At 36.2% G+C, this 12,347-nt stretch overlaps 1 long non-coding RNA gene across 2 annotated transcripts in view; it reads right to left on the bottom strand.

Moving 5' to 3' along the window:
• Nucleotides 1-11,384, bottom strand: part of LOC107986297 (uncharacterized) — a 64,842-nt gene extending 53,458 nt beyond the window's left edge. For both annotated transcript variants that reach the window (XR_001741778.1, XR_001741779.1), the window contains exons 1-2: nt 11,298-11,384; nt 10,461-10,566 (exon numbers count right to left, since the gene is read on the bottom strand). This is a non-coding gene — a long non-coding RNA (uncharacterized LOC107986297). The remainder of the gene's footprint in view (nt 1-10,460; nt 10,567-11,297) is intronic.
• Between the last annotated feature and the right edge of the window lie 963 nt (nt 11,385-12,347).

The raw sequence follows: 12,347 nt of genomic DNA, 5'->3' as shown, positions 1-12,347 counted from the left end.
CCAGATTCATAACCCACAAAAGTATGTGGTAAGAAATGTGTATTAAGTTGCTAAGTTTTGGGGCAACTTGTTATGCAGCAATAGATAACTAATGTAGAAATTAATGTAGATAACATGATTTACCATTTTCATATACTACTATAACTGTGCTCATCCTCAACTTTGTAAGGCAATTATCTAAAGTCATGAGATGATTCATCCAAAAGAAATATCTTTAAGCCCCTTTGCTACCAGCTTATAATTTCTGGGTGACATCTATTCTTCCTCTTATTTGATTTTTACTTAGTCCAAGGTGACTTCTCTCTAAATAATAACTCATTTAACAAATATGTATTGAGAACCTATTACTTGCCAAGCATTATTCTAAGCATCTGGGGTATATATTAGTGGATTAAAAAAAACGACAAAGATCTTTGCCATTATGGACTTACATTCTGGCATAGGGAAATGGAGAAAAAAAAGAGACATAATAAATATGCATTTCATTAAGTCCTAGATGAATTTTTCACATTTTAACATCTATAGAACCTAGGTTTATCTAAACATTGATGGAATATCATGGTTTCATAGGCAGTTTTTTTTCTTCCTTAGTTGTACATAAAATAAAAATGGCTTAAAATTGTTGATTCTTAAATCTGATAAAATACTACAAATAAATTATATAGTATATTAAAGATATTAATGGTACCAAAAAAAGTTGAGTAAGGTAAGGGGATGAAGGCTGAAGACAGACAGAAGGGGCAACTGGTAGTGGTAGTTTGGGTCTTTTTAAATAAATCTTACCCTGACTTTTTAAAAAACTGACATGTGAGCAAAGCCTTGAAGATGTGCAGGAGGTAGACAAGCAGATACCTGGGGAAGATAATTCAGCCAGTTAGAGCAGCTAGGGGAAAGGCACTCAGGCAAAAACCCACGTGACATTTTCGAGACAACAGCAAACTCAGCACTGTAGCTGGAGAATATTGAAGAAGAAGGAGAGAAAGGGAAGAAGGCAGAGAAGTAATGGGAAGCCAATTACGTGGGACCTGATAGGTAGATGTAAGGACTTTGGATATAGCCAGAAAAGCCACTAAGGGATTTGAGAAGAAGAGGAGGAAGAAAATCTGACTTAAATTTTTAAAGAAGCATTGTGGCCATTGTGTTGTGATTAGGCTAGACTCGAGCAAGAGATCTGCTGTTATTTTACGATTTGCATTGAAAACTAAAAATATTGTAAAATGAGTTCCTCTTTCTTTTGGTTATCTCACGCCGATGTTGGTTGGAAATTTTAAGTTATGTTTCCTATTCATGGTTGATGTAACTACACCTACGTTTTTACTTTGATTATATATGGTTTACTGAAAATGAATTAAAGATATTGAGCTTTTATGTTTTTATTATTTTACTGAAGACTTACTGGGTGTGAAAGTTAAAACCCCATATGTTTTCTTTCCTGAGCATATTTTATTGTGAATAAAAGAATTATGTAACATATTTATGTAACATGAATTGCATATTGTAACCAGCTTCTCTTTGGTTGCACACTATCTGTACATAGTATTATTCATCAATTGTTCTATATGAAAGTATACAATTTAATGAGTTCATTCTTCTTAGAGTCTGATCTTCATTTCTGCTCCCACACTTCTCATGATTCTTACAATTGAACTCAGGGTTTTTATCACCATTTATATGCTAAGCACTCATCAAACAATCTCCTAAATCCAGATTCACATTTCAAGTTCCCACTAAGGATCTCCACCAGCAAGTTTCACATGAACCACAAACACACTTCATTTAGAACTAAATTTAGCACCTTCCACTCCCAATTAGGACATCAATTATCCTTCCGTAGACAAACTTAAGTGCTCTCTCAAAGAGATCTGAACTTGATTCCCAGCTCTCCCTCATACTTATTTAAAAAAACAAAACAAACAAATTATTGGCCTGATTCCTCATCTGCAAAACAGGGATAAAATAGCAACTTTATAGAGATTTTCTGAAAGCAACTTTCATTGTGCTTTGCAACTAGTAAGAGCTCAACAAATAGTTGCTATAATAATTATTAATTATATTTTAAATAAAAGTAGATTTGAAGCAGTTGCCTTTGTATTGTAGAATTTTTTTAACTTTATAAAATACTTGTATCACATTTTTAGTCAAAATTTAAAATAATCTTTCAGAAGTTCCAATTAAATATTACTTGCCTCCATTTTTATTAAAATTAATTCTTAATCATAGCAAAAAGAATAGTTAACTAGTAAAATACTTGCTTCCTTAAATAATTGTTACATTAAGCATTCTGCTTTTAATTTTTATCACAATAATTTTCTCTTCTGCAAATATAACTATTAACATATGTTAAAAATGGTCAGCCACTTGATAAAATATTAAATAGTAAGTATCTATCACAGTCTCTGCTATCCTCTGTGGATACTATTGAATATATTGGTATTTTCTATCCTTCAAGATTTTCTCTGGTATTACTTTGGGCACTGGAGGTGACATAGGGAATAGTAGTCCTCATATTTGTGGTACATTTAGCTAAGGAAACAGAGAATACCATCCAGGGGGTCAGTATAGTGTAGTGGCTAAAAGTTTACACTACTGAGTAACCCTAGGTTAAACATCATGGCTTTACCATTTACCAACAGGGCGACCCCGGGCAAGTTAATCAACCCCTGTGCCTGTGATGACATCACCTAATGATAAAACTGCAGTGAATAGTAAATGAAATAACACTCTTAAAATCCTTAGAACAGTGCCTTCATAAACAGTCAACAAACGTTAAATAGAGAGAAACACAGAGAACACTTACCCAATAAATACTGTGATTTAAAATATATATACATGGTATTCTGATGTGTTCGTCTCAGTGTTTATCAAAATTGCTTCATTATCCTTTTTCAACAATACCTTAAACATGCCAAGTAAACGGTGTTCCTCAGATTAAAAATGTAAAAGTTGCTGTGTAAAAAATGACATTTGGAGTCCAGAAAGACTGGATAACAAATCTTAGAATGACTACTTATACTTGGACCTCTTGGCAAGTTGAACTTTTCTTCTTATCTGTTGAAACTTATTAAATAAAATAATCCACAAAACTGATGTAAATTTTAAATGATAAAATATGTACAACTTCTTGGCACACAGCTTGCTACATAGTATCTATTAATCAATGTTCTTTTCCTTCCATCTTTCCATCCTTCATTCACTCTTCATGAGGTATTCAAGGAGTAATGATAACCACCTTGCCAGAATGGAGTGAAAGGGATTCAAACATTTAATAAATTAGACTACCTTCCAGGGTCCCTTCCAACTCCAACATACTGTGAACCTATGCTTCTAATTCCAGAAGTAAGTAGGTGGAAGAGTGATCCACAGGCCCCCACACCAGATGCTAGCCAGTGCTAGAGATCTTATGCAAACTTAGCTTACGGTAAAACAAACTTGATGGCAGAAGATTTTGATAACCACTAATTGGTATCTTGCTGATCACATCTTGTACTCCAGTAGTCCTTAGGGGAGAGAGATTGAGGATCTTCCTGCTTCTTGCCCTGAGGATAATCATGGTTAGATGCCAAGAACATTTTATTGACCAAAGTACTACAGGTATAACGAAGCCTGCGTGAAGACAATTGTTTCTTTCTGGCTCTCTGAATGCTCTCCTCTCCAGCAGGGTAGCACTCCAGTGCCTTACAAAGAGGTCACACTTGAGAAGAGTCCTAGCATCTGTCCCAGCTCCTTTGCACTTCTTTGCGGTTCTTTCTTGCTACCAGTTTTTTTTTTTTTCTTTCTAGGCCAGCTTTTTCTCACAGTTGGAATGTGAAGAGTTGAGATTCAGAGTGAGCTTAAAAGAAATACAAAGTACTCCACTTGAAAAAATTTGGTTTTAGGTAAAAAGCACCTCTACCAAAGCAAAAAGGGGTTTCCACATGGTCCAGACTAGCTTTTGGGAAACTTAATTGGGACTTAAGGTAATGTCCCATCTAACAAAGAAGCATTGTGTTATTCTTGTCTTCTTTTTTGTGTGTGTACATATAGTTTGAGACTGAACAATGTGGTATGTGGCTAGTCAAGGATAGAAACCTGATATTCTGTTATTCTGTAACTGAGGCCCTGTGTTCCTCTCTCTCTAGATTTTCAATATACTTCTACTGAGGAAAAGACATTTCAGGAGTTATGTAACCTTCTCCACTAATGATGATATTGAGAATTTTGCTGTCTTGCTTCCTCAATTCAGGAAATTGAAATCTGAAATATGACAATGGAGGAAATAATAATCGAATTTCAGAGTTCTTTGGTTTCATTCTACTGCTAGATTTGCATTCTTCTGAACCTGTTTGGATGTCAGCTCTGCGGTGAGATATCCGTCTAACACAAGGCTTTAGAGAACAGATGCAAAAGAGATTAAATTTTGCCTTAAAACAACTTTCCATTTGCATTTGGTGATTGAACAGGGGAGGATTAAACTGTGGTATCAGCCTGTGTAATACCCATTCAGTTTCTCTTGAGATTTCCATTTGTTCTCTCTAGTGCAGTACTATCTTTACTGCTTCAATAAATGATTTATCTCATTGTCTATTAGGGTGAATCCTGTTTGGAGCACACTATAATACATTTGCCAATGATGATAATGCTTAAATAATGCAAACACTAGCTTTTATCTTTACAAAGCCCAACAATGAACTGATTAATTTCAGAATTGTGTTATGTGGATTCTCACTATTCTATATATGTACAGATTTATTTTGATAAGTCATGGTCCACATATTCTCCGAAAACTTAGTGGAAGTATTTTAGTTATCCAAATTCCTATATAGAAAACTGGAATAGGAATAACATAAAATAGGCTCTATGACTGATCATTATGTTATAACCAAAGCCCTGAAAACTTCAATTGAAGTATAGGAGTAATTGAAGGTGAACAAGTAAATGTGCCCCATGAATAATACCATTTATTGAAATAAATGTAAATAGAGTTTATGATTATAGTAAAATTATACTACAACTAAGTTGATAGTGTACATGTTAAATAATCCAGTATCCTCATTCTGCTTTTAGCAGGCCAACCTTGAAATTGTCACTTATTACTATTGACCCTCGTTTTCTTTATCTGTAAACTGAGTAAGTGGCTTAGTTGATCCACAAGGTCCCTTTTAGATCTAGAAGCATGATTCTCAACACACATGATCTATTCTAATTAGATACAAAGTATAAAAGTTATTATAAATATCTATATTTAGTATTACTTTTGTATAACTATTCTAGATTAAAGTTTTTTTCTAGCATCTGCAATTACTTTGAACATTAGTAATTAATCATCATTACCATCCTCACATTGACATTCTCTCATGGTAAAATGCAAAAGCCTAAGCCATAGTGAAATACCTCCAACTCCTGCCAATTTGCCCACTGACTCACCCCTCCTAGGCAGTTGTATGTGCTGTTTCACTCTTCAGGATCCTCCTGACCATGCCCCTCAATTCTCTGCCCCCTTTTCTTGCTAGCTTTAACTGATGTTCCATGACTCATATCAAGTCAGCTCCCATAGCTCTCTGAATTTATTCCTATCATTGTATAAGACATTTTAAATACCTACTTATGTGCCTGTCTTCCATTATACTGTCAATTTCATGGGGGTGGGACCAAATTTTCTTTTTTGTCCTTATAACTGCCAGTGTCAGCACAGTACCTGAAGCAAGGTCCTACTGATTAAATGCTGCTAGTTGTCTGGCACAGAAAAATGAGAAAACAAATAGTGAGTAGGTGCATATAAGAGTATACGGATTTAAAGAGACAACAGAAAGGCAAGGCCCAGTCAAAATACTCTGAGACTAGACGCTAAGATATATTCCTGTGTATCCATCAGCTCCTGGGAAAGGGGCTGTAAACAGTTACATCTGAGGTTTATCATTCCCTGAGAAGTAGTTTCTGGGTCAGGAGTAGGGAAAGGCTCAGAGAACATTACTCGCTCCTGTACAGTTTTCTAAGAAACCAAGGCAAAAATGGCCGGGCGCGGTGGCTCACGCCTGAAATCCCAGCACTTTGGGAGGCCGAGATGGGTGGATCACCTGAGGTCAGGAGTTTAAGACCAGCCTGACCAATATGGTGATGCCCTGTCTCTACTAAAAATACAAAAAAATTAGCCAGGTGTGGTGGCATGTGCCTGTAATCCCAGCAACTCAGGAGGCTGAGACAGAAGAATTGCTTGAACCCAGGAGGCGAGGTTGCAGAGAGCAGAGGTCGCACCATTGCACACCAGCCTGGGCAACAGAGCGGGACTTTGTCTCAAAAAAATAAATAAAAAAAGAAACCAAGGCAAAAACAATTAGAGGGTGGATTTTTCCACAAACTACCCAAATACTTAGATGTTTGAGTTTCGGAGAAAAGGGAAAGCAGGAGAAAGGAAGAAATATTCACTTGAGTGGTTCCAGTTTGCTAGCTTCTGAAAAATATTTTTAGAAGTATTATCTTTTTTAAATGGAGATAAACTATTTCCTCATCATCTCACTGATAAACAGATGTGAAAGTATCAGTGACAAAGCAGCTAGGGAAGTGAAATTTTTCTGGTACTGAAAAGTAAACATTTAAATTAAGGCGAATACCTTGGGGGTAATTGTATTGTATGGTGGGAAGGTATGACAATCAAAGTGTAATGTTCTTGTTTTATTAGGGGGAATGGATTGGCAGAAGGTAGTCAGAAAAGGGTGGGTGGGTATGCCACAGATGAGTCAAAGCAGGAAGAAAATAGATAAATATCGACTCCTTCACAGTTTTAACAAGGACCTGCTGGTTTATCTAAATAGTCATCTGTGCAAAAACAAATAGACGCTGTGAGCAAAAATATCTCCCCTGCCTGACTATTCATGCAAGCCTATTAACAGGAATAATAAAGGGAGGGAGGTGTGATGAGGATGGCAGGATGGGACTTCCGCTTTGCAAGTAGCCACTTGCCCGTGGTGAACAGCTACTCGTGTTTAGTGATAACTGAAGAAGGCTGATCTCATTTGTTTTTAATCCTGCCTGCCTCTGGCTATTTGAGGCAGATACATTAAAAATCTGGGCTGCTAAAGGCTGAAAATAGTGATTTGTTTCATGAGAAGACACCGCACTCAATAACTATCCTTTTCACGTGTGTTTGATATATCTTCTTAGATGTATCAAGTATTCTCCTAAGGATTTGACAGAAATAGCATTGTTACCATCTGGTCAGTTAACTGAACTAATTTAAAACTAAGCATGGTAAATTTTAAATTAATGAGTGTAGTATATAAATATAAATATGCAAATATATAATTACATAGCATTTTCATAATCATTTAACATTTCCTAAAATTTAGTAACAGGAAGCATGTATTTATGGGGAAAACTGTTCTGCTCTTATGCCAAAGAATGGGTTACCTTTATGGAGTATAGTTTTTTGAGACAGACCATATTGTAAAATAAAACATAAATAATATTGCAAAACTTAAATCCTTACAGGCTCATTCAGTAATCCAGTGTTAAATATGGGTTCCCCAGCTCCTATTTTAGGAATCTCACCAGCGACTGTCTCAGTTTACCACTGGTATTTCATAAACAATGTGTATATTTAAAGTTGGTGCTCAGGGAAGTTATTATTTTCCTCAGCTTCTTCTTGGAACTGAGGCCCAATTTTCTGAATTACAGAGAGAAAAAAAATAATAGAGAGACAAAGAAATTTGGCTGTGATTCTTTTAAATCTATCTCATAGTGGACTCTATGTGCTAAATAAAACTGATATACAGTAAAAGTAGTTTCCTTGGCAACGATAGCTACCAAATTAATTTTCAAACTTGGAAAACTCCGTGCTTTTTACACTGTAGTTATCAGTAGTACCAGTAACACAATCAAGAATAAAACAATGAAGGAAATAAAGGAAGATTCAAGCCCCTAAATGTGGACAGTTTGGTTAAGGTAGAACAAACTGGGAGTAGAATAACAGGTCATATGTTACAAAAAAAGTTAAAATGGGGAAGAAATTAGTCATTTTGTTTGGTTCAAGGGAATAGGGCCAGATATGAAATTCAGAAAAGAAAATATAGACTGTCAGGAGAAATATCTCAAAGAGACAAAAAATGAGTTAGTAGTTAGGTTACTAACTCCAGAATACTCTTGAACAGAAGTCAGGCAAAATTCCATCCTCCAGGACAATGGAAAAGTGATTCATTACAAAACTTTAGAGGCAATATTAGACCAAGCCATACTATTCCCAAAAACGTTTGAAGATTTACTTTCTTCCAGCTTCAAACTGTTATAATTTCTTGGCTCATATGATTTGTAATTTTTTTATAGAAAAGATTTAAAAATGCAACTGTAATATAATTTATAGGCTCTCTCTAAAAGGAAAGCAAATAAGGAACTGAGTTATCATTCTTAAAAACAAAATAAATAGGCTGGTGAAGACTTTTAAAAGTATATTTTCTGTGTTTATTAAAGTGGTAAAGAGCTTAATTACCGTTAATAGGAGTTGCTCCGAGTTAGAGTTTAACAGGGCTCTAGCACCCTGTTTGGAAACACAGCTGGGCCAGATGTGGCTTAAAGCAGAAATTGCAGGTTAAGCATCTCCATAAATCCTTAAGTACCTCTGAGAATGTCTCAGGAGTCACAGGGCCACTTACTCCAGTTAAGAGTGTCTTCATTATACTAAATTCCTGATTACACTATAGACATAGAGAGTCCCAAGGCAGGTCTCTATATACTCGCAGGGAAGAGGGATAATCTGTTTCTATGCAACTTTAGTTCAATAGTCTCTAACTTTCCAATAAATATAGAAATACAATTGCAGATAACAGGAACTATCACCTACAGATTGTTACAATAATAGCTTTTGTGTTTCAAGTGCCTGCAGTATATTTTCTTCAATCTTCCTAACAATGCTATTTGCCCAAATCTGTCAATCAGAAAACTGACTGCAGCTCAGGAAAGTTCCTCTCTCTTTCTCTCTTGTTTGTGTTGTCTAAGCTTAAACAGTGAGAGACTAAACCAGGACTCAAACTCAGCTACACATATCTCTAGTCCTCTACTTCTAAATTTTATTCCCTGTATTAAAGGCCTTTTGCAATCTGATCTCAACGTTTTTTATTCTTTCTTTTCTTATTGATTGATTAAATATGATGGAGAGTCATTAATGATATCCAGTTTTTGTCCTGGGCAACTGGCAAATGTTTCCATTCACTGAGATGGGAAAAATAGAGAAATAGTGATTACATGAATGATTCTGGAACTCAGTGAAGTTACCATCTGGAGGTAAAGGGTTGAGAATAACTAACAAGTAGATAATAGTAGAAATGGTGAAAGAAGAAGATATTTCTTCTACGGCCTTTGGCCCAGGAAGAGCTCCAAAACACATTAAATTTCCAAGGAATGGTAAAGGAAGAAGAGCTATAAGGGAAACACAGGAAGTGTCCAGATAAGAAGAATGAAAATCCAAAAATAAACTTGCTCCAGAAATAAGGAAAAAGAGCATTTCCAAAGAAGGAAAAAGTAAAAAATTAAAACACACAACAACATGATAGTAATAAGAATAGTAGCAACAGGCTGAGTGCCATGGCTCATGGCTATAATCCCAGTATTTTGAGCAGTTGAGGCAGGAGGATTGGTTGAGCCCAGGAGTTCTAGAACAACCTAGGAAACACAGTGATACCCCATCTCTATAAAAACATAAAAAAAATTTAGTTGGGCGTGGTGATGCACGCCTGTAGTCCAAACTCCTCTGGAGGCTGAGGTGGGAGGATCACTTGAGCCCTAGAGTTCAAGGTTGCAGTAAGCTATGATCACACCACTACACTCCAGCCTGGGTGACAGAGCGAGACTATTTCAATTGACAGAGTGTCCTTTGAAAACTAAGTGCATACTATTGGAAGCTCACACAGACCCTGTGAATTCAGTTCTATTATTATCTCCATGATAAGATGAGAATAATGGTAACTAACTCATAGAATTATTGTTAGTTTCTATTGCAAATGCAACCATTCCTGTAAGAATGCTTCCAGTAGACTGGGGTAGAAGCCAGGTTGCAGCAAACCAAGAAGTATAACAGAGGAGAGGAGTTGGTTAAGGCAGAAAGTAGAAGTATTCAGGGTAGTTTTAGGATTCAGGAACATCGGTTCACTGCAAAAGAGGGACTTAGGAAGGGAAAGACTTGGAGGAGAAAGGAAAGCAGGTTGGGTCGAACCAGGAAGGAGAACTGCAGAAGACAAAGGGCCTGAGAGAGGGGCAGTGATGGACAAATAAGGGTGCCCAAAGGATAAAGATGTGAGATAAAGTGTTTTAAGAACAACAGCCGGTTATCAAAAACATTAGTTTCAAGTTGGAATGAGGGTTGAGGACCACCCTGGATCACTTTACCTTTAGAGAAAGTCCCAGAACTGATAAGCCAGTCAGGATGGGATCAGCTCACTTCATCTGCAGGACTCTCCTCACTTATTGGAAAAAGTACATGAATGAATTATGTTTACCTTCATTGTATTTCTGGACCAGAAGTGCAGTGTTGTGAATTAAAACATGTCACACACTTAGGTCTCCAGTTTCTTGTCTTCAAAAAAATAGATAGAACCTTGCAACCTGCAGGCAGAAATAACTTTTACTATTGTTGTTTAGATGCTATCCAGGGGTCCACTGGCTCCCTATGGCCTGGTTAAACTTAGCTTGCCTTCTAATTAGTTGGTCTTCCTTCCATGGAAAGGTCAAGAGCTTGGCTTGTGATTTTTGTGAGTTCTCAGCCACTAACTTCCTCATGGTTCTAACTCATGTTTTCGGGTGGGTGGGGACATGATGCCTCAGATCACCAATATTAGACTAAGTGCAAGATCTATGTCTTAACCCCCAAAACTTCAAGCATTTTGTGAACTTAGTAACCCGATTCAGCAAGCAAGGGAAGGACCAAAGGCATCATGTAGAAGTTCCCCATTTTCTTATCTTACTAGCTGCACTCCCACATTTCACAAGTTTTCTCTTCTTTTTTCTAGTATAACAAGCAAAGCATTCACCTGGACTCAAGCAAAAGAGTTTAGCTCACATTAAAAGCCTAGCAGTTCAGCTTCCACCCCGAGACAGGCTTAGTAAAGCATCTTCTCAATGATGTTGTGGTTTCAACAATATTCTCTCACACTTTCCACTGGTAAAATATTTTTTCTCCATCTTCACAAGTAAGATGTTAACCATCAAATACTTAGAAGATCAAATTGTATTCAAATACAATTCTATCTTTAGAAATTCTAGATCTCCTCACATTCTCCATGAATCTGAATAATCTTTACCAATATTAACCACATCCACCCTCACAAAGGACTTACCTTCTGCACCTAATACTATTCTTCCTCTATTTCTAGGATGAGCCTGTCTTAACACCTTGACAAAGTCCATTCAACAGACTAGTTGACTGAATCAGCTCTCAGTTGCCAAATAGGAAGGTTAATTTTTAGCTCACCTAAGGAGGAAAATAAGGATATTATTTCAGCTACAGTGCCAGAGTGGAAAACCCTGAGGGTTGAAAGTACACCTAAAAATACTGGTATTCCAGGGTAAACAAGCCAAAAAGAAATAGAGATTGAAGGCGCTGGTGATAAATTAGCCTTACAGAGCTCTTACAATTGACCTTGTCCCTGATAAATACAATATCTTGGTTCTATTAAAACAAAGTAAAAATAGAAAATTGAGAAAATGCAAAATTGGTAATAAGTTATTCACTGGGCTTGCTTTCCAATTCTGATCAGAACAATATTCCAACCAAACAAAAGACTAATTCAGTCTTTTTCTACTTTCATTTTATTTAACAACATAGGCCAATTATTACTTTCATAATAATAGACACTAACATTTATGTAGTAATTTCTAAGTCAAAAAGTTCTGATATACACTACTCTGTTAAAAACAATTGCATGAGTGCTAAGTATACAGAGAAAGAAACTGAATTTCAGAGAGGGTAGGAATGTGTCTGTGGCTTTAGAGATGGTTAAGAAGGACGATGGGTCTAAAACAAAGGTCTTCTAAATGCAAATCACTTTTCTATTTGTTATTAACTGAAAAATATAACCATAGACAATGAGGTTCTTTTTCTCAGGAGAATGTACTTTTTCACTACCATGTGTATTTACCAACCAGTATCAGGCTTAAAGAAATATAAGGTTAAAACTGGTACAGAAATAAAGATTCTGTCTATCAATATTTGGTCTTTAAAGCCATGGAAATGAATCATGGAAAACAGTGCCCAAAAAAAGTGGGAGAGTAAAAAAAAAATAACATCCCAAGTACCAGAACCTTATTCTAGAGAAATTGAGACTGAGTCTATTTTTAAACAATGAACCTTCTACTTATGAGCCTGAGGAACTCCATAACCACAGTGT

Source organism: Homo sapiens, chromosome 4, assembly GCF_000001405.40.
Source record: "Homo sapiens chromosome 4, GRCh38.p14 Primary Assembly".
Lineage (NCBI taxonomy): Eukaryota > Metazoa > Chordata > Mammalia > Primates > Hominidae > Homo > Homo sapiens.
The sequence above is the reverse complement of the archived record's forward strand: the minus strand, read 5'-3'. Positions and strand labels throughout refer to the sequence as shown.